At 35.5% G+C, this 23,878-nt stretch overlaps 1 protein-coding gene across 8 annotated transcripts in view, besides 1 other annotated feature; it reads left to right on the forward strand.

The window, feature by feature from the left end:
• ZNF407 (zinc finger protein 407) overlaps positions 1-23,878 on the forward strand; it is a 467,802-nt gene that overhangs the window by 151,903 nt on the left and 292,021 nt on the right. The gene's annotated exons all lie outside the window — the stretch shown is intronic.
• Positions 23,447-23,656: an enhancer, noted in NCBI's record as "active region_13502". NCBI's record gives its function as "activates an Ori minimal core promoter by ATAC-STARR-seq in GM12878 lymphoblastoid cells {active_cell/tissue: GM12878}" and the evidence as "EXISTENCE:reporter gene assay evidence [ECO:0000049][PMID:35858748]".

Raw genomic sequence — 23,878 nt, forward strand, 5'->3', positions numbered from 1 at the left:
AGTCTTAACATCTTATTTGGGGAATAAAACTCCAAATAATAGAAAGCTTTGTATTCCATTTAATACAGGAGGCAAAGGAAATTAAAGAAGTATGATAAGTTATTGGAGATGTATCTTATTGGAAACTATAAAAATTAGAAGAGTGTGAAATTGTCATTCTTTTTTGGAACTTTTCTAAGGCAGAAGAGAGGCCTAAATTCACTGGACAAAGTATGAGGTTGGTGCAAGGGTCACAGTTTTGTCCATGAAAGTCCTTTCCAGCCTCATTTTCACCCAAATCCGTGCTATAGCCTTGGCACATATGTAAGCTTCTCAGACTGGTTTACATTTTCTCACACTTTTCTTCTCTTCCAGGAATATCATCCTTCTCATGGAAATCCTAGTTATCTGTACATTTTACTTCTTCTTTGAGAGTATCCTGAATTCTTTTAGGCATTACTATATCTTACCTACATTATCATCTTGTGGTATTTTTTGCCTACCAACATAAGATGCAAAATTGTTTAACAGTTAATTGCTTTTGTCGCTCATTTTACTGATATGTGAACTTTAAAATAAAACCTAAATGAGTGGTGCAGTATGTTCTTTTTCAGCTGAGGGAAAGTCATTTACTTTTTAACTTGATTCATATGTAAATCATCAGCTTTTCTTTTCTATAGATTTATTCTGGACAGTTCATATGAATGTGATTATACAATATGTGGCCTTTTGTGTCCAAATTTATTCAACTGGCATGTTTTCATGATTCATTCATGTCATAGCATGCATCAGTGCTTCCTTCTTGTGGCCAACTAATACTGCATTGTGTGGACCCAGCACCGTTTGGTATTCACCCGTTCATCATTTCATGGTCATCAGGATGATTTTCACTTTTTAGATATTATGACTAACGGTGCTGTGAACGTTTCTGCACAGATTTTTGAGTGGACATAAATTTTCAGTTTTCTCGGGTATATAGGAGTAGAATTGCTGGATCTTGTGCTAACTATATGTTTAACTTTGTGAGAAGCCATCAAATGTTTCTTGCTAGCAGTGTATGAATTTTTGAATTTCTCTGTATCCTCAACAAGACTTGTTGTTTGTCTTTTTGATTATAGCTCACCTGATGTGTTTGAAGTGATATATCATTGACGTTTTGATTTCAATTTTCCTGAAGAGTAATGCTCTTGAGCAACTTTTTATGTGCTTTATATTGCCTATTTTATATATTTTATGGGGAAATATCTATTCAGATCCCTTGCCCGTTTTTACTTTGTATTGTCTTTTTATTGAGTTTTCTGAAATTTTTATTCTGGATATTGTCTTTTTAATTTATTGATTGTGTCCTTTGAAGCACAAACTTCTTTAATTTTCATGAATTTCAATTTACTCTTTTGTCATTTGTGCTTTGGTGTTATATCTAAAACCATTGCCTAATTTAAGATCCCAAAGATGTATTCCTCTAAGATTTTATAGCTTTTTACCCCTTACATTGGGATTTTTGAATCACTTTGAATTACTTTTTGGATATATCATTAGGAAGGAGTTCATTTTATTCTTTTCTAATGTGGCTACGCACGTCTCAATACCATTTGTTGAAAAGTCTATTCTTTTTTTTAAAATTTATTTATTTTATTATACTTTAAGTTCTAGGGTACATGTGCACAATGTGCAGGTTTGTTACATATGTATACATGTGCCATGTTGGTGTGCTGCACCCATTAACTCGTCATTTACATTAGGTATATCTTCTAATGCTATCCCTCTCCCCTCCCCCCACCACACGACAGGCCCCCATGTGTGATGTTCCCCACCCTGTGTCCAAGTGTTCTCATTGTTCAATTCCCACCTATGAGTGAGAACATGCAGTGTTTGGTTTTCTGTCCTTGCAATAGTTTGCTCAAAATGATGGTTTCCAGCTTCATCCATGTCCCTACAAAGGACATGAACTCATCCTTTTTATGGCCGCGTAGTATTCCATGGTATGTATGTGCCACATTTTCTTAATCCAGTCTATCATTGATGGACATCTGGGTTAGTACCAAGTCTTTGCTATTGTGAATAGTGCCGCAGTAGACATACATGTGCGTGTGTCTTTATAGCAAGCTGATTTATAATCCTTTGGGGATATACCCAGTAATGGGATGGCTGGGTCAAATGGTATTTCTAGTTCTAGATCCCTGAGGAATCACCACACTGACTTCCACAATGGTTGAAGTAGTTTACAGTCCCACCAACAGTGTAAAAGTGTTCCTATTTCTCCATATCCTCTCCAGCACCTGTTGTTGCCTGACTTTTTAAATGATTGCCATTCTGACTGGTGTGAGATGGTATCTCATTGTGGTTTTGATTTGCATTTCTCTGATGGCCAGTGATGATGAGCATTTTTTCATGTGTCTGTTGGCTGCATAAATGTCTTTTTTTGAGACGTTTCTCTTCATATCCTTTGCCCACTTTTTGATGGGGTTGTTTGATTTGTTTCTTGTAAATTTGTTTAAGTTCTTTGTAGATCCTGGATATTAGCCCTTTGTCAGATGGGTAGGTTGCGAAAATTTTCTCCCATTCTGTAGGTTGCCTGTTCACTCTGGTGGTAGTTTCTTTTGCTGTGCAGAAGCTCTTTAGTTTAATTAGATCCCATTTGTCAATTTTGGCTTTTGTTGCCATTGCTTTTGGTGTTTTAGTCATGAAGTCCTTGCCCATGCCTATGTCCTGAATGGTAGTGCCTAGGTTTTCTTCTAGGGTTTTTATGGTTTTAGGTCTAACATTTAAGTCTTTAATCCATCTTGAATTAATTTTTGTATAGGGTGTAAGGAAGGGATCCAGTTTCAGCTTTCTACATATGGCTAGCCAGTTTTCCCAGCACCATTTATTAAATAGGGAATCTTTTCCCCATTTCTCGTTTTTGTCAGGTTTGTCAAAGATCAGATGGTTGTAGACGTGTGGTATTATTTCTGAGGGCTCTGTTCTGTTCCATTGGTTTATATCTCTGTTTTGGTACCAGTACCATGCTGTTTTGGTTACTGTAGCCTTGTAATATAGTTTGAAGCTAGGTAGCGTGATGCCTCCAGCTTTGTTCTTTTGGATTAGGATTGTCTTGGCAATGTGGGCTCTTTTTTGGTTCCATATGAACTTTAAAGTAGTTTTTTCCAATTCTGTGAAGAAAGTCATTGGTGGCTTGATGGGGATGGCATTGAATCTATAAATTACCTTGGGCAGTATGGCCATTTTCATGGTATTGATTCTTCCTATCCATGAGCATGGAATGTCCTTCCATTTGTTTGTGTCCTCTTTTATTTCGTTGAGCAGTGGTTTGTATTTCTCCTTGAAGAGGTCCTTCACATCCCTTGTAAGTTGGATTCCTACATTCCTAGGTATTTTATTCTCTTTGAAGCAATTGTGAATGGGAGTTCACTCATGATTTGGCTCTCTGTTTGTCTGTTATTGGTGCGTAGGAATGCTTGTGATTTTTGCATATTGATTTTGTATCCTGAGACTTAGCCGAAGTTGCTTATCAGCTTAAGTTTTCTAAATATACAATCATGTCATCTGCAAACAGGCACAATTTGACTTCCTCTTTTCCTAATTGAATATCCTTTATTTCTTTCTCCTGCCTGACTACCCTGGCCAGAACTTCCAACACTGTTGAATAGGAGTGGTGAGAGAGGGCATCCTTGTCTTGTGCCAGTTTTCAAAGGGCATGCTTCCAGTTTTTGCCCATTCAGTATGATATTGGCTGTGGGTTTGTCATAAATAGCTCTTATTATTTGGGAGACGTCCCATCAATACCTAGTTTATTGAGAGTTTTTAGCATGAAGGGCTGTTGAATTTTGTCAAAGGACTTTTCTGCATCTATTGAGATAATTGTGGTTTTTGTCTTTGGTTCTGTTTATATGATGGATTACGTTTATTGATTTGTGTATGTTGAACCAGCCTTGCATCCCAGGGATGAAGCCAACTTGATCGTGGTGGATAGCTTTTTGATATGCTGCTGGATTTGTTTTGCCAGTATTTTATTGAGGATTTTTGCATTGATGTTCATCAGGGATATTGGTCTAAAATTTCTCTTTTTTTTTGTTGTGTCTCTGCCAGGCTTTGATATCAGGATGATGCTGGCCTCATAAAATGAGTTAGGGAGGATTCTCTCTTTTTCTATTGATTGGAATGGTTTCAGAAGGAATGATAACAGCTCCTCTTTGTAGAATTTGGCTGTGAATCCGTCTGGTCCTGACTTTTTTTGGTTGTTAGGCTATTAATTATTGTCTCAATTTCAGAGCCTGTTACTGGTCTATTCAGGGATTCAACTTCTTCCTGGTTTAGTCTTGGGAGAGTGTATGTGTCCAGGAATTTATCCATTTCTTCTAGATTTTCTAGTTTATTTGTGTAGAGGTGTTTATAGTATTCTCTGATGGTAGTTTGTATTTCTGTGGGATTGGTGGTGCTATCCCCTTTATCATTTTTTTATTACATCTATTTGATTCTTCTCTCTTTTCTTCTTCATTAGTCTTGCTAGCGGTCTATCAATTCTGTTGATCTTTTCAAAAAACCAGTTCCTGGATTCATTGAATTTTTGAAGGGTTTTTTGTGTCTCTTATTTCCTTCAGTTCTGCACTGATCTTAGTTATTTCTTGCCTTCTGCTAGCTTTTAAATGTGTTTGCTCTTGCTTCTCTAGTTCTTTTAATTGTGATGTTAGGATATCAATTTTAGATCTTTCCTGCTTTCTCTTGTGGGCATTTAGTGCTATAAATTTCCCTCTACACACTGCTTTAAATGTGTCCCAGAGATTCTGGTACATTGTGTCTTTGTTCTCATTGGTTTCAAAGAACATCTTTATTTCTGCCTTCATTTTGTTATGTACCCAGTAGTCATTCAGGAGCAGGTTGTTCAGTTTCCATGTAGTTGTGTGGTTTCGAGTGTGTTTCTTAATCCTGAGTTTGAGTTTGATTGCACTGTGGTCTGAGAGACAGTTTGTTATAATTTCTGTTCCTTTACATTTGCTGAGGAGAGCTTTACTTCCAACTATGTGGTCAATTTTGGAATAAGTGCGATGTGATGCTGAGAAGAATGTATATTCTGTTGATTCGGGGTGGAGAGTTCTGTAGATGTCTATTAGATCCGCTTGGTGCAGAGCTGAGTTCAATCCCGGATGTCCTTGTTAACTTTCTGTCTCATTGATCTGTCTAATGTTGACAGTGGGGTGTTAAAGTCTCCCATTATTATTGTGTGGGAGTCCTAAGTGTCTTTGCAGGTCTCTAAGGACTTGCTTTAGGAATCTGGGTGCTCCTGTATTGGGTGTATATATATTTAGGATAGTTATCTCTTCTTGTTGAATTGATCCCTTTACCATTATGTAATGGCCTTCTTTGTCTCTTTTGTTCTTTGTTGGTTTAAAGTTTGTTTTATCAGAGACTAGGATTGCAACCCCCTGCTTTTTTTTTGTTTTCCGTTTGCTTGGTAGATCTTCCTCCATCCCTTTTTTTGAGCCTATTTGTGTCTCTGCACATGAGATGGGTCTCCTGAATTACCGATGGGTCTTGATTCTTTGTCCAGTTTGCCCGTCTGTGTCTTTTAATTGGAGGATTTAGCCCATTTACATTTAAGGTTAATATTGTTATGTGTGAATTTGATCCTGTCATTATGATGTTAGCTGGTTATTTTGTTCGTTAGTTGATGCAGTTTCTTCCTAGCATCGATTGTCTTGGCATTCTTGTCACAATGAATTGATCATAAATGTAAAGGCTTATTTATGAACTCTTAATTGTATTTCATTGATGTATCTTTCCCTCTCTCCCTCCCTCCCTTCCTTCTTCCTTCCTTCCTTCCTCCTTTCTGGTTTTTTTTTTTTTTTTTTTTTTCTGAGACCGAGTCTAACTCTGTTGCCCAGGCTGGAGTGCAGTGGCGCTATCTCAGCTCACGGCAACCTCTGCCTCCTGAGTTCAAGCGATTCTTCTGCCTCAGCCTGCCTCTCTTCTTTCTTTCCTTTCTTTCTTTCTTTCTTTCTTTCTTTCTTTCTTTCTTTCTTTCTCTCTCTCTCTTTCCTTCCTTCTTTCATTCATTCGTTCATTCATTCCTCCCTCCCTCCCTTCCCTCCCTCCCTTCCTCCCTTCCTCCCTTCCTTCCTTCCTCTTTTCCTTCCTTTTTTTTTTTTTTTTTTTTTTTTTTGAGACTGAGTCTAACTCTGTTGCCCAGGCTGGAGTGCAGTGGCCCTATCTCAGCTCATGGCAACCTCTGCCTCCCAAGTTGAAGCTATTCTTCTGCCTCAGCCTCCTTAGTAGCTGGGATTGCAGGTGCGCACCACCACACCCGGCTGATTTTTGTATTTTTAGTAGAGATGGGGTTTCACCATGTTGGCCAGGATGGTCTCGAACTCCTGACCTCATGATGTGCTCACGTCAGCCTCCCAAAGTCCTGGCATTACAGGCATGAGCCACAGCGCCTGGCCATATATTTCATTTTTATGCTATTATCGCACCTTGATTATTGTTGCTTTGTAGTTGAAACATGTGAGTCCTTCAACCTTATTCTTTTTCAAGATTGGTTTGGTTATTCTGAGTCTCTTGCATTTTTATGAATTTTTAAGGATCACTTTGGTAATATTGGCAAAGGGGCAGGTTGGAATTTTGATAGGGATTGCATTGAATTTCTGAGTCAATTTGGAAAGTATTGTCACATAAAGTATATTGTGTTCCAATGCATGAACATGGGATTTCTTTCTATTTACTGAAGTCTTCTGCTTCTTGTAGTGAAGTTTTAAAGTTTTCAATGTATGTCTTCCACTTCTATTGGTAAATTTACTTCTAAGTATTTTAAATGTTTTTATACTTTTTTTGATTTTTCTTTGTTAGTGCATAGAAACACAATGCATTTTTGTGTATTGATTTTGTATCTTGCAACATTGCTGAAATTGTTTATTAATTTGAATAGTTTGCTATTTTAAATTCTTCAGGATCTTCTGTGTACAAGATCCTGTCATCTGTGAATATGTCTTTGTAGAAGGTTTTTTTGACTCTTCATTCAGTTGCTTTACTTGTTATAGCTCTATACAGATTTTAAAATTTCTTGTTTAGTTGTGCTTCACTTGTTTTCTTCTTTCCAGGAATTTGTCTGTTTCATCTAGATAGTTTAGTTGGCACATGGATGTTTATAGTATTCATCTTTAATTCTTTTTACCTTTGTAAGGTTAGTAGTAATATTCACCCTTTTCATTCCTAGTTAATAATTTGGGTCTTCTTTCTTTTTTCTTCTTCATCTGTTCAGCTAACAGTTTGTCATTTTTGATGATCTTTCCAAAGAACTAATTTTTGGATTTGTTGATATTGCCTATTTTTCTATGTCATTATTTATATTCTAATTTTTATTTCATCCCTTCTGCTCACTTTTGGTTTTGTTTGCTTTTCTAGTTTTAGTTATGGTGGAAAAATTAGGTTCTTGATTTGAGATCTTTTATTCGTTTATTTTATTTTATTTATTATTTTTAAGGAAGTCAAATGAGGCAGTAAGAATGGAGACTTTCTTTTTTTAATATACAGATGTTTAAAGATATAAATTTCCCTGTGTCTATTGCTTCAACTACATCTTCTGAGTTTTTATATGTTCCATATTTGTTTCCATTCATCTCAAACTGTTTTAAAATTTATTTTGTGATTTCTTCTTTGACCCACTGTATTTATGAGTATGTTTCATTAACACATATTTGTTAATCTCCCAAATTTCCTTTTGTTATTTGACTTCTAATTTTATTGTATATGACTAAAGGAAATAAAAGTATTTCTTGTATGATTTCAATCTCTATAGATGTCCTGATGCTTATTTTATATCCTATCATATGATCAGTTCTGGAGGCTATTCTCTGGGCATTTGAGGTTGTTTTTATTGTGTGACATATTCTATAGATGCCTTTTATTTCTAGTTGATGTACCTTGTTGTTCAAATCTTCCTTTCATTGTTTATGTTTCACATTAAGTCTATTTATTACTGAAAATGGGCTTTTCAAGTCTCCAAATCTTATTGTTGAAATTTCTGCTTCATTTCTATAATTTGTTGTTTTGTTTATTTTGGAGGCTTTGTTATTAGTACGTTTGTGTTTGTTCATTCTTTATAGAGTACCAACTTTTTGTTATAAATGTTCTCCCCCGTTTTTTGGCTTCTAGTAACAATCTTCCTTTTAACATTTATTTTCTCTGATATGAATATAGCCGCTGCGGCTTTCTTTTGGTTACTGATTGCATGGTGTATCTTTCATCCTGATACGTTCAACTTACTTGAGTCTTTGAATCTTATGTTTATGTCTTGTAGACAGCATATACTTGGATCATGTTTCTTGAATTTGTTTTGCCAGTCATTACTTTTTGCTTGAAATTTTTAGTCCATTTACCTATAATGTCATTATTGACAAGTAGAATTTACAGGATTTACACGTGCTATTTTGTGTTTTTCTACATGTCTTTATGCCTTTTTTGTTATGGTATTTTACTGTTTCTTCTTATTTTGTGTTAAATAGGAATTTTTCTTATTTATATTTTTACTTCCTTATTCAGTTCATGCATATACACACATGTATGTATATGTATGCATGTGTGTGTATAAATTTTCTTAATTCTTAACCTAGGGATGACAGTGAACATCTTATAACAATCTAGTTTTTACGAATACCAACTTAATTTCAATACTGTATAAAAGCTCCTACATACATTATTTCCTCACCCCCTACTTTGTCCTGTTACTGTCATATAAAATGTATCTTTCTACTTTTATATCCATCAATACAAATTTGTAATTACTGTTTTAACTAGATGCCTTTTAATTGGACAGGGAAAATAATTACAAAGGAAAAGAGAAAATATATCTATATTTATTTTTGAGATGGAGTCTTACTCTGTCACCCAGGCTGGAGTGCAGTGGCATGATCTCGGCTCACTGGAACCTCTGTCTCCTGAGTTCAAGCGATTCTCCTGCCTCAGCCTTCCTGGTAGCTCAGATTACAGATGTGTGCTCCCATGTCCAGCTAATTGTTTTGTATTTTTAGTGGAGATGTTGGCCAGGCTGGTCTCGAACTCCTGACCTCAAATGATCCGCCCACCTTGACTTCCCAGAGTTCTGGAATTACAGGCATGAGTCACTATGCCTGGCCAAAAAATATATTTATAGTTTTAAAAAATTACCTACGTCATTACCTTTACTGGTCCTTCATTTCTTCATGTGAAAATGAGTTAGTGACTAGTATTCCTTAATTTCCATTTAAAGAACTGCGCTTAGTATTTCTTGTACAGCAGGTCTGGCTGATGGTGTTTTTTGTTTTTTCTTTTGTGTATCTGGGTGTGTCTTCATATCTCCTTTGTTTTCATTTGTACTGTTTTGCTGATACAGAAATTTAGATGACAGTAATTTTTTTTCAACACTTTGAATATGTCATCCCCCTGCCTTCTGACTTGCATAGTTTGTGTGGAGATGTTAGTTTTTAATCTTATTGTGCATACTTTGTAATGGATGACTGACTTGACTCTGTTGCTGCTCTCAGGATTCTCTTTTTCTGTTTAGCATTTGACAGTTTGAATATGTGGTATTCTGTGGACATGTTTGAGTTTTTCCTATGTGGTAATTATTGAGTCTCTTGGATGTTAAGACTAATGTTTTGCATCAGATTTGTTAAGCTTTTGATCATGATTTCTTCAATTTCTTTTCCTGCCCTCTTCTTACTATGTTTCTTATTATGTCCTTAATATTATGTCCTTATTAATTTCTTATTGTTTCCTGGTCATTTTTCCTCTTCCCCCTCTTTCTTCTTCTCCTTGTTATTCTCCTTTTTCACCTTCATTTTGTTTCTCAGACTGGATCAGAAAGACCTTGCTGTATTTTCTGTGACTATTTTCTTCTGCCAGTTCAAATCTGCTCTTGAGTTCCTCTAGTGAATTTTTCGTTCAATTATTTTACTTTTCAGCTCCAGAATTTATATATGCTTCTTTTTTTTCATTTTTATTGATAATCTTTATTTGTTAACCCATAATTCTCTTATTTTCCTGTATTTCTTATTTCCTGTAGTTCTTACTTATATTTTCCTTTTTTTTTTTTGAACATTTTTATGATGCTAGTTGAGTTAGTGTTTTTGTCTAGCAGTCTTATCTGGGATTTCATGGAAATGGTTTCTGTTGACTGCTTTTTTCCCCCAGTATATAGGCCATATTTTTCGGTTACTTTACATGTCTCTCTCTCTCTCTCTCTCTCTCTCCATATATAAATATATATATATATGTATGTATGTATTTGCTAGAAAGTAGTCATTTAAATAATGTAATGTGACCACTTTGGAAATCAGATCCCTTCCTCCTCAGAGTTTACTTTTGTTGATGCTGTTTAGTGACTATTCTGAATGTATTTTGTAACGTCTGTATTCTTTGTCATGTGTGGCGACTAACGTCACTGCTTACTTTGAAAAGTGGAAGACACATATTTCTTCAAATGCCTTGAACCAGTGTCCATAGCATTTGTCAAGGGGCTCTGTTGCATTGTGGAATGTGCTTCATCAGGCAGTTATCAACTCTACCTTTACCTTCTTTTTCTACCTGTGCAAAGGCTTAATGTTAGCCAGAGATGCTATGGAAGATTATTACCTTTTCAGATTTCTCCCTTCATTCACACAGCCCTGTGCATGTGTGTTTGCTTTTAGATTTCTGGAGTATGTTGGAGCTTTTCTAAGCTTGTGTTTCTAATCTTATTCTCATTTTTCCTTTTAAGTTTTTTGGCTAGCCTCTTATTCTCCCTAACTGGTTTTATGCTCAGACAGCTATGGTGGTAAACAGTTGCTTCTGTGGTTTTTTGTTTGTTTTTTCCATTGCTACTGACAGTTGCCCTGAGGATGGGGGTTATTCACACACAGTGAGTTGTGAGTCAAGTCAAAGACAAACCCTGAGCATGGAGTGTTTCAGGGATCTTCCAGGTAAGTAGTGGAATTTTTACGGGAATGAGGTCTTTGGTGAGTTCCTAACCTGTTTGACCGCTCCTCCTAGCTCCTAGGCTGCTGGTTTTCAGATCTACTCTAGTCATCATTTTGTTGTTTTTCTGGAGTCTTACGAATCTAGGGAGTTGGGCATGAGATTGGAATAAGTTCAAGTGCCCCAAAGCTTATTGTTGAGTTGGTTTTCTTGAATAGTCTTCATACTCTTTTCTATTTTTATTTCCAGAGTTGGTAAAAAGTTGCTTTTTCTTGTGTTCTTTTGCTTTTATGGAGGAGCAGATTTTTGGAGGACCTCACTTTCCCATTCTGGCTGTCCCTCCTCTCATGGTGATTATCTATTTAGGCAAAAATATCTGAAAATGCATTAGACTTCCAATATAGTACTGCCAACCTTTTATTTCTTGAAATACAAACAATTTTATTTTAAACTACTTCTTTTAAATTTACTTTATATTTATTGGAGTACTATATTGATCTTTTGGATTTTTGAATTTTGATAGGTTTTATTATACATTCACTTAATTTCAGGATAGTAAAGGAGCATTGTACAATAAATGTTGCAGAAGTTATTGTCAGTTTGATAGGGTGAGAGACATTTTTATATTTTGTGTAGTCTCTTTAGCACTAAAATATTTCTTATACTTGTGCATATTTCTATGCATTTTTTTTATTTAGGTATACCATGAGATTTTAGCTTATATTAGCCCTTTTCTATATCCCTTAGCACAATTTTTTTTACAAAGCACATTGTCTGAAAATATTTATTAATTGGTTTGATATTACAAGATGTAAAAGTTACATGTTTTAGAGATATCTAAATAGTTGATCAAATGTTAGAACTTGCTAATAATATTGCTATATATTATTTCACCCATAGATGCAAGTTTGCCCCTTTTAATGTAACTTAGACCCCAACATATAAACCCTAAAATCTTGGAGCTTTTAGGCCTGTTGCTGTTACCTTCATCAGCTCTATAGCCTGGTTGTAATTTATATTATTTCTGACTGCTAGAAACTGCTGGGTTCTTTTCATGATTGTGTTTTAAGTTCTTATGAATCATATTCAGTTCTTAAACCACACATTTTTGGTAATTTTGGTATTTTTAGAGTATATCTAAATTATACATTTGCCACCATGTAAACAATACCAAATAAAATGGGAAATTCAGAAATAATCTGTTTTCATGTATCTGTCTGTATACTTTTGTCATGTGTAGCTTCTCCTCCAAATTTCAAATTGCTAGTATTTGTAGGAAACTGTTTTGCTTGTAACACAGTGTAAGAAAGTTATAGTCGTAGAAGGGAAAATCATGGAAGTTATTTATATAGTCAGTCAGTCTCTCTCTCTCTCTTTTAGTTACCTTTTTGCTCTGAAACTTAGGCTTTTCCAGGTAGTTGCTTGACAGTGTTACCATCCCTCTGCTTGCAAGATATTTACTGTTTATCCTTTCGTAGTACCATAGAGATCTCAAATATAATTTAGGAAACAATGTCTGGTCTGTACATGCCAAGTCAGGGGTTGACTTCTCAGTTACTTTGGAACTCTATAAAATCCTAAAAATTAATAAAGCAAAAAGGTAAAGAAGAGCAAAAAATAAACATATATCTTACTTGTGTATGAGTGTATAATGCCTGAAAAATGAATATTTTCTAATTAAAATTATTATGGACTTCCTATTGTAAATGTCGTTTTTAACTTAAAAGTTTTATTGAAGTATTACATACGGAAATCTGTACATATTTGAAATGTATGATTTGATGAATTTTAATACATATTTAGACATATGTGTATGTATTCTCCATGAAACCTTTACCTCAAACAAGATTATGATTATACCCATTACTGCCCCAAATTCCCATTTTTTCCATTGTAATCCATCCTTCCTGCCACTCTCTGCCATCCCTATGCAACTGCTGATCTGCTTTCTGCCATTATTAGCTTGCATTTTTAGAGTTCTTTGTGAATGGAATGATATAGTTTGGAATTTTTCTTGTCAGTCTTTTTTTTTTTAAAATCATCATAGCTGCTTTTAGATTTTAGATTTTTTCTTTTTTGTTGTTGTTGTATATTGATAGTTAATTCCTCATTATTGCTGAGCAGAATTACATTGTTTCTTTATCCCTTTGTTTATCCATTCTCCTTTCTATAGATGTCTGAATTATTTCTCTTTTTTGGATATTTGAAATTATGCTGTTATGATGAACATTTGTAAACAAGTTTTGTATGGCCATAGCCCTACATTTCTCTTGGGTAAATACCTAAATCTAAAGTGATTGGATTTTAGGATAGCTGTATGTTTAAGGTTTTACCAGAGAATAGTACCAGTTTACATATCCACCAGAAGAGTTTTAACTTTCCTATTTTTCTACGTAAACTTCCCAAAGCTTGCAATTGTTAGTCTGTCTGGTTTTAGCCATTTTTATTAGATAAGTAGAGGAATCTCTTGGTGATTTAATTTGCATGTCCCTAATGATTTTGAGCATCTTCTTAGGACCTTTTTTTTTTTTTTTTTTTTTTTTTTTGCCATGTGTATTTCTTCTTTGGTGAAGGGTCTATGAAAAAAATCTTTTGTCTATTTAAAAAATTGTGTTGTTTGTTTTCTTCTTATTGAGCATGGGATTTCTTTTTGTATGCTAGAGATAAGCTTTTTATTAAACATATGATTTGCAAGTATTTTGTCCTAGTCTGTGGCTTAATTCTCTTTAGAAGGGGAGAATTAAAAAATTTCCATGTAGTCCAATTTATACATTTTTTCTTTAATGAGTTTTGCTTTTTGTGTAATATCCCAGAAATCTTTACCTAGATGAAGGTTACAACTTTTTTTCTTATATTTTATTTTAGAAGTTTAATGGTTTTAGGTATTATATTTACGGTCTGTGATTCATATGAATGAGTTTCTACTACAAGTGTGTAAGGTATAAAATGAAGGTAGTTAACATTTTTTTGTAGTCTTCATTTTTTCCTTGCTTTGTATCTGTAAATCTGTTGTCATTCTTATCTTTGATTTTTTTTTTTTTTTTTTTTTTGAGACGGAGTCTCGCTCTGTCGCCCAGGCTGGAGGGCAGTGGCGCGATCTCGGCTCACTGCAAGCTCTGCCTCCCGGGTTCACGCCATTCTCCTGCCTCAGCCTCCCGAGTAGCTGGGACTACAGGCGCCCGCTACCACGCCCGGCTAATTTTTTTTTTGTATTTTTAGTAGAGACGGGGTTTCACCGTGTTAGCCAGGATGGTCTCGATCTCCTGACCTCGTGATCCGCCCGCCTCGGCCTCCCAAAGTGCTGGGATTACAGGCGTGAGCCACCGCGCCCGGCCATCTTTGATCTTTTGTATATAACATGTCTTTTTTCTCTCTTTTTTTTTTAGACTTTTGCTTTATCATTGGTTTCCTTCATGTTTGCTTTGTTTGCAATTCGTTGACCTTTTTTGATTTGTGAGTTTATAGTCTTCATTACACTTGGAATTTTTTTGCCCATTATTTCTTCAACTACTTCCCTGTTCCACCTTGTATTTTTGGACATTCCAATGATACCATTTGAAATTGGCCAACAACTAATTTGTTTTCATTTTTAAAAACCTATGTTCTGTTTGTGCTTTTTTTGTGTGTGTTTTCTATTCCTTTTTATTCAAGGTCACTATTCTTCTGGATGTCTAATATGTCATTAAGCTCATCTAATGAATTTTTTTATCTCATGTGTTTTATTTCTAGACATGTGGTTTGGATTTTTAAAAAATATCTTCCATCTCTCTACAGTCGATCCTCTGTATCCTTGGGTTCTACTTTTGTGGATTCTACCAACTGCTGGTCAGAAATACTTGAAAAATACAAAAATAATACAACCCTAGAAATTAAAAAGCAATACAATAGAACAACTATTTATGTAGCTTTTAGATTGTGTTAAGTATTGTAAGTAATCTAGAGATGATCTAAAGTATATGGGAGGATGTGCATAGGTTATGTGCAAAAGCAGTTGCCCCTTGAACAATGTGGAAGTGAGGGGCTCCAACCTCCCTTGCAGGTGAAAATCTGTGTATAACTTTAACTGCCCCCAGACTCAACTACTAGTAGCCTACTGTTGACCAGAAGCCTTACTGATAACATAAACAACCAGTTAATAAATATTGTATATATTACTCTATTCTTTAAGCTTGATAAAAGAAATTGTTATTAAGAAAATCATAAGAAATAGGTGTATTATTTATTAAGTGGAAGTGAATCCTTATAAAAGTCTTCATTCTCATTATCTTCACATTAAGTAGGCTGAGGAGAAGGAAAGCAGGAGGGTTTGGTCTTCCTGTCTCAGGGGTGGCAGAGGTGGAAGAAAATCATAGTAAAAGTGGACCCACACAGTTCCAATTCTTGTTGTTCAAGGGTCATCTATACTACATTATTTTTATGTAAGGGACTTGAGCATGGATGGAGTTTGGTATCTGCAGAGGGTTCCTAGAACCAATTCCCCAGGAATACCAAGGGACGGGTGTACTTATCTTTTGATTATGTTTTGTGTATTTATAGTAATTGTTTTATTGTTCCCTAATTTTAATATCTTTGTTCATTCTGGGTTGGTTGTATTTGATTGATTTTTCTCCTTATTATTGTTCATATTTTTACACTTCTTTGCATGCCTGGTAATTTTTTCATTGAATTCTAGACATTGTTAATTTTACTTTGTTGTTTCTGTTTATTTTGTAGTTCAATAAATATTCTTGACCCTTGTTCTGAGATTGCAGTTAATTTACATGAAAATGATTTTTTTGCTTTGCTTTTAAGCAGGATCAGAACAGTGCTCAGTGTAGGATTAGTTGTCTCTACTTCTGAGACAGAACTTGCTGTGTGCCCCTTGAGCCCGCAGGTCTCTCAAGTCTGGCTGATGGGAGCCTGTGTGAGCCCAAACACTATTTTTTTCTTTCTGTGTTTTGTCGTGCTCTCATGTAGCTTCTTCATATATATGTGTCTTGATCAATAATCGCTGAATCCTCCATGCACTCTTCCCATGATCTTTAGAGTTCTGTCTCTATTGGGGTCTCACCTCTCTGCCCTGTGCATTCCAGCTGCCTGGCCTCCCTGTGTTCTCCTAGCTGCAGCTCTGTTTCTCACCTCGTTACACTGTCTGACAGCTGGCTCTTTGAGATCATTGTCTTTCTTTACCTGATGTGCTATTTCTTAAAAGTTGTTATTTCATACATTTTTTGGATTTTTTTTTAATCAATGGGAAGGATAAAACTGGTTCTGATTACTCTATCTTCTAAACCCCAAATCAGTCAGGATTCACTCAGACATTTAGAGCCACTGTGATATACGCATATTACTCTGTGTGTGTGTGTGTGTGTGTGTGTGTGTGTGTGTGTGTGTGTGTGTCTGTGTCTGTGTGTCTGTGTGTGTGTGGCTGTGTGAATAAAGTTAATATACTTGTTACAGAAATTTGGTCTCATGCAACAATGGGAGCTTTTTAACTAGTCTCTGTAAGGCGTTGTCATCACATCTGATGTTGGACCTTGAAACCCACAGGGCAGGCAGTTGAGAAGTGAGGAGGGATGTGACATGAGGGAGAATGAGAACTTGGGGGACCCACAGGCATGAGTGGGAGCTCATAGCCTTGGACAGTGGTGGTATGGGATTCCACAGAAGCTGGGTCCCATCCTATGCTTCTTAAACTTACCCATGAGGTTCAGGAGTCAGAGAAGCTGATGTAGAAGCTTTCCCAGGATTGTGGAGAGTGGTCAAAGGTTTGGTTGTTGTCTTGTGATGATGAGATGATCTATGTGGCAATGCCTGCGCGCTATGGTTTCACATCTGCCCTGCTTATTTCATACTGGTATTTCTCTGCTGGCTTTTCTTAACCAGCTACATCTAGGGAAGCAAATTCTAGGAAATGGAATTTGGCTAAGCCAAGTTGTCATGTTACTGAGCCCCATCTTTGTAAGGCGTATTTAATCTCTAACTAAAGAAAAAAAGAAGATACACTTCTAGCCAACATGATGTACATGTTCAGTACACAATCAACAACATGCTAGCCTATTACCAAAAGGGAATACACTAGCCATGTTTTGTTTTTAGGGTTATTCGTTCTTCAATTTACATTTTCTCTTTGCTGCCTGTAGCTTTTAAAATGAGTTCTAAAGATAACATCGTTAACACATATTATTTTAGATGATAAGGGGACTAAAACTGGGAAATAAACTAATCCCAACAATTTTTATTTTTTTAAATTTCTTCTTTTCATTTTCTTTTGAGATAGAGTCTCACTCTGTCACTCAGGCTGGAGTGCGGTGGCACAGTCTCTGCTCACTGCAACCTCCGTCTGCCAGCTTCAAGCGATTCTCCTGTCTCAGCATCCCAAGTAGCTGGTACCACAGGTGCGCACCATCATGCCTGGCTAATTTTTGTATTTTTAGTAGAGACAGGGTTTTGCCATGTTGATCAGGCTGGCCTCGATCTCCTGACCTCAGGTGATCCACCTGCGTCGGCCTCCCAAAGTGCTGGGACTACAGGTGTGAGCTACCGTGCCTGGTCCTGACTTCGTTATTATTAAAAAGATTCCTGAGTCTTTCTTATTTTAATAGATTCACTTAGTTTATTACAAATTGTTATAGGAAAGTAATTCAACCGTAATTCTTCTTAATTGATAACTTCTGCATCTCGCCAATGTTGCGGTAATTGATGATGATGATCTTCCGGAAGCACTGCATGTTTTTCATATACCTGCTGAATATTACAGATTATATTCTGTTCTATATACAGATTATATTCTGTTTTATAAACTTTTATTATTAAGTGCATCCTATTGTGTTCTAATTTTTGTATAATTGTATTTCATGGAAAATATTTATCTTAACTCTAATATATGTAAACCTCAATACAAGACACAGAGGATATATTATCTGCATATATATCTCATGTTATTTTCCTGCTAAATATGTTCAGAATTAGATTGTATAATTCTGAATTCTCTTTTTTTTTTTTTTTTTTTTTTGAGATGGAGTCTCGCTCTGTTGCCCAGGCTGGAATGCAGTGGTGCGATTTCGGCTCACTGCAAGCTCCGTCTCCCGGGTTCATGCCATTCTCCTGCCTCAGCCTCCTGAGTAGCTGGGACTAGAGGCGCCTGCCACCACGCCTGGCTAATTTTTTTTTTTTTTTTTTTGTATTTTTAGTAGAGACGGGGTTTCACCGTGTTTGCCAGGATGGTCTCGATTTCCTGACCTCATGATCCACCCACCTTGGCCTCCCAAGTGCTGGGATTACAGGCGTGAGCTACTGCGCCCTGCCCCTGAGTTCTCATTTTTTGTTTCAAAATAATTTAATATATTTTCTCTGCATATATATATTGAATGTGTATGGTGGGTACCTTCAATTCATTTTCACATAAATTACAACTTGAATATACCTATTTGCCAAATAGTATTTTTAAAGCATTAAATGAAGAAGTCTTATTTTTTAAAAGTACCCTTAAGCCAGAGTCCTTGCACTAGTCTTGGAAGTAGAGCTGTTGGACAGGTTGGCACATCTCGCCTGCAAGCTCCTTGATTACCCAAGAACATTTCTCCCTGATGTTCAGTCAAGTATGGAGTGCTGGTCAGTTTAGGCTCAGCTATTCCTAGATCCCTCTTAGACAAGATTGGAAACAGGTGTTGGTTTTCATTGACTCATTGATGTCTGCTGCATTACATGTGATCGTAGTGTCAATTTACATAAAATATCAGGGAAGAAATTTGAAGACAAATTACATGTAAATGTGGAAATCCCTTTTTTGGTGGATTTATTGATTGGTGTTTTATTCCTTGACAGGAACACCCTCATGTGTTTTAGCTCCTGCACATTTAATCAATAAGGACAATACCAGAATTATATGCTTGGATAGGAAAACTCTTAATTTATTAATAGCCATAATTCTTTGAGACTTACTGAATTTCTTGAAATACCTAGGAATTTTACTCTAGACTTCTGTATACTGTATATAGATAGATAGATTTTTCTTACACCGTTGTTATATTCCAGTAGGCCTCAATTTTCTCATTTATAAGTTGAGGCTAGTAATACCGTAATGTGTATCTACTACAGTTGTGGTTTTATCTTCAATAATCCGCATTAAACATTTATTACCCTCTTTGGCCATAGTGTTCTCTCACTAATATGCTAAATTTCATCACTATTTATTTTTAATATTTGCATGGCCCTCTTTTATCCTGGAAGGATGAAAATGATATTTATAGAGTCCTGTCAGCCAGTGCAATGCTACAGTGTGTGTTCTGTCTGCCATCCTTCCTCTTGTCTTTGGGGTCCTCTTCTTAGTCATGGTCATCGTCGTCATTGTCATCATTATCATCATCATTGCAGTGGGCTAACAATTCCAGAGGAATTACTGTGCTAGGCACTACAGTAAGTCTTCGCCTTACCTCATCTCATTTAATCTTCATAGCAACCCTAGGGAAGAGAGATAATGTCCTTATCCAGTCATAGGGAAGGCCCAGATTCAGCCCAAGTTTCTTTGACATCAGGCTTTGCCCTGACCCTCAGTGATATTCTTTTATGGCCTACTGTCAAATGATTTAATATACCAAGCACATCTGTGTGTGTATTTTAATTCCTGTTGACTGTGTTAGCACTTTGCATTCTCAGGTTACTATCTTACATTAACAGAAGGCCCCACCAATGTTTTACCTCCTTCAGAAGAGTTGAGGTAGCTCTAGGCAAAGGGTTCTTTACAGAGCTGTTTTTGAAAGTTTCCAATGAGTATCTCTTATGATAAGTACCTCTTTGGCTCATACTGTCTTTGTACATGATAACCATTCATAAACATGTCTCATAGAGTTTGTTTTTGATTCCCCTGCTGGAGATTTCAATTGGTCATGGCAATTCCCATTTTATAGTTTATCACTAATACAGTTGTTTACAAAATTCATTGTATTTTTTAAAACAATTCAGACATTAATGATCTCATTTCGTCTCACATGTCATGTTTAACTTAACCAAGGCCATGTTGGCCTAGACTAGATGCAGGTTTTTGCATGTGGGATGCAAGCGCCTAGACTAGATGCGGGTTTTCAACTCTAGACTGGAGCATTTTTCACTGAACTTCTACTATCTGTGTCTCAAACTCAAAAATAATATACACTTTCATCACTGATTTACTTAGTTGTTGGAAAATAACTTTGTAATTGAAAAATAATGCAGCAGACACCTGAAACTAGGCCTATACCTGACTGAAGTTTATAAGAGGGAGAGAGACACAGGACAGTTGAGGGGTGAGTGTGGTCTGTGGGCTTTGAGGAGACAGCCTGGGGCACATTCTGACTCTGCCACTTAGGAGCTTGCAGTCTTTGGGGGCTTAATGGATATGCACCTCAGGTTTTTCATCTGGAAAATGAGATGTGGTGAGGGTTAGGTAAGTTGGTTCACATGAAGCATACAACAAAACTTGGAAGCTGGGAATGGTGGCTTATGCCTGTAATCCCAGCAGTTTGGGAGTCTGAATTGGGAGGATCAGTTGAGTCTAGTAGTTTGAGACCAGCTTGGACAACATAGCAAGACCCTGCCTCTACAAAAAATAAAAATTAGCTGGGTGTGGTATGCTCACCTGTAGTATTAGTTACTTGGGAGGCTGAAGTGGGAGAATCGCTTGAGTCTGGAAGGTGAAGGCTGCATTGAGCCATGATTGTGCCACTGTAGTCAGCCTGGGTAACAGAGGGAGTCCCTGTCTCAAAAAAATAACCAACCTTTCTCTCAAGAAAACCTCAAAAAACAAACAAAAGCTACAGAACAACCCAGAGCTTGGCAGTCTCCCTCTTTTCCAACGAAAAAAAACAAGAATAAAATAACCTTAATGCTTTTATTATTAAGAACCTGGTTAATATTTGGAAGTCTACAATGTACTCTTAATGTCTTGAAGTATAATATTATTTACAGTTCTTAGAATAGTTAAATCTTCATATGGACCCTCATTAAGTGGCAATGGAATTGACCCTTGAAATAAAGCAGTACAACCTTGCTGAATAGCTTCATTTGCTCCGGGAAATTGTGGGTAGGTGTGTGTTTGTATGCATGTGTGTGTGGGGTGTGTATATGTTTATCAAATAAGCTCTCAGATTCTTGAACATTTATGTGTGTTGTAGCTAGCATTTTATAATATCTAAAAGGTTACTGCAGTTTTTCTGTATGCAGAATGCCTATTCTCAGGAGAGGTGTGAAATTTAAGAAAAGTTTATTTCTTATGAATAAGCAAAAAATTCTAACTTTTGTCTCTTCATAGAGATTTTCATTAAATATAATAGCATTTATTTTCAAGGACCAGCAGAGTCATCCAGGAAAATAATAATTATAAAGAATTTTCAGATATTTTAAATTTTAGAATGTTGGTAATTTGTATTTGAAACAAGTTGCTTGATATAAAATTACAAGGGTACATTTCACATGTGAAAATGGTGGATTCTGTATGGTAATTAAAACCAAAAGCGGTATAACATTCAAGGGAATTGTGTCAGAATATATTTGAGAAATAAAGATAATTATTTTGGCCTATCAATGATTTGGTAAGAGTTTAAGAAATATAATTATTAAATGTTATGTAACACCTGTTAACTTATGAATTTTGGAGTAAACAAATTTCATATAATCATAGTTTTCCCCCTTTGTTTGTAAGGTAAATTTCTGACAGATTTGAATACCTTTGAACTGCAGGTTTTTCCGTATTGTTTATTTAACATGCTCATTAATAGGTAAGAGAAGTAGGTGAGAAAAATTCTTTCCTGAAGTCTTGATTAAACAATATAATATGAACCTGCTTACAAACATATTTAGGATGTTAGATAATGTATTTCATCTTATATGTTATAAAAATGAAGTCTTTAATAATTTCAGTTTTATATTATCTAACATATTTTACATGTTAACAACAAATTATAGTATGCCCCAGGTTTCTGACACTTTAAAAATAAAATATATTTATTTTGATTTTGTTTATGATAAAACTGGTGCAATCTATCTCAATTGGCTGTTCTTTAAGAAATGATCATCTTTATTTTTAAGCATAATTATTCTTGATAACTGATTGTGTGGTATTTATTTTTGTCTGACTTGTTTCATAGGTCATTAATTTTTAGTTTTTCTCTTCATCATATAAGTATTTTCTTTTAAAAATATTGTGTATACTTAATCCCAGCAAATCTTAAAAAAAAATCTCTATGCTTATATCAATTACTAGATTTGTCATTCATTAGCTTGGATAATTCACATTCATTTAGGAAAGTAATGTAGTGGTTTTATTTTTGAACAGTTTTATTTCAGTAGTAGTTTCATTTTTCTTACTTTCTATGAGGCTATAATCTTTCATTAGGCAAGAAGTATGGAGTGGTGGAGAGACTTCTGTATAAAGGTCACCAGGCATGAATTCTACTTTTGCATTTTCAGCTTCTTTGCCCCATTTTCTTGAAAAAGTCAAAGTCACTTATCTTGTCTGAGCCCCACTTTCGTCCTCTTTCAGGGTGATCTGATTATGCCCAAACTGCATGCTCATACACTCTTGGGTAGCCATTGAGGAGACATATAAAACTGTTGTATAAACTATACATCTGTAACTATAAGCAATATATTATTTGTTGCTTTTTTAAATTACAGATTTTACTTATAGAAAAACAACCCTATAAATCATCTAAATCTAAATCCCATGTCAGAGTGAATTTGGTTGATGTTGGCTTCTTTTCATGTATATATTTGTTCATGTATATGTCAGAATACAAGAATAAACACACATAGGATTTGTTGTATGTAGTATTTTTTGTCCTTTTAAAATCTAAGCTATCATGAGCAGCTTTCTATATTTTCAGTTGATGCATAATATTATACCATGATTGTGCCAATGCTATTGAACTTTTAGGTTGCTTTCACTTTTCAGTTGGATTGTAGCTTTTTATCTTTTATTTCATATTATTTTTGGAGTGCATATTTCAGCAGTTAGAATACCTGATTTTGAATGACTGTTGAAGACTATTATTTGTTTGCTTAAGATTTGGTGCTTATCCAGTTCAGAAGGGAATTATAACAGGTTTTTGAGCTGAGGCATGACCTGAACATATTTATAGGAAGGTGTGTCACGGGGGTATGTGGAGTGAATTGTATGGGAGAGTGCCTTGTAGCTGTGGTACTCAGACATAATGGTTTGAACTAGTTCATTTAAAATGGAAAAAGAAAAGTCTTGGTAGCAAAAAATTATGAAGAAACAATTGATGATGTATGAACATGAGTATAAGATTACTAAATCGGGAAGGTGGTACAATTGATAGAATTCAGAAATTCTGCAGGAGATCATTAGCGTGGAACAATCATGACTGAATGTTGGACGTGCTTTACAATATTGTCAATGCAGACAAGAAAAAATATCCTGGAAAGGCCATGGGTGGAAATAAATATTTTAGTGTCATCCACAAGGAGGTTATGCTTGAAGCCCAGGAAATAAATTATACCTTTGAAATATGAATGTATATGAACAAATATATCACCCTTAGAGGATAAGATGAGGAACGAGAATCGACAATAGTATGAAAGAGGAAGTGATCAGAAGTGGTTTGGAACTATCAGTAGAAGCCAAGTTATTAGAGAGCTTAAAGAAGAAATTGACAATAGTATGAAAGAGGAAGTGATCAGAAGTGGTTTGGAACTATCAGTAGAAGCCAAGTTACTAGAGAGCTTAAAGAAGAAATTGACAATAGTATCAAAGAAGAAGTGATCAGAAGTGGTTTGGAACTATCAGTAGAAGCCAAGTTATTAGAGAGCTTAAAGAAGAGATTGACAATAGTATGAAAGAGGAAGTGATCAAAAGTGGTTTGGAACTATCAGTGGAAGCCAAGTTACTAGAGAGCTTAAAGAAGTAGTAAGTAACACCTTTACACTAAAGTTTTATGCGAATAATTGTTTGAATAGAATGCTGTCCTGCAAAAGCTAAAATGTGATTCATTTACAG

This window comes from Homo sapiens, chromosome 18 (assembly GCF_000001405.40).
Source record: "Homo sapiens chromosome 18, GRCh38.p14 Primary Assembly".
Classification (NCBI taxonomy): Eukaryota; Metazoa; Chordata; class Mammalia; order Primates; family Hominidae; genus Homo; species Homo sapiens.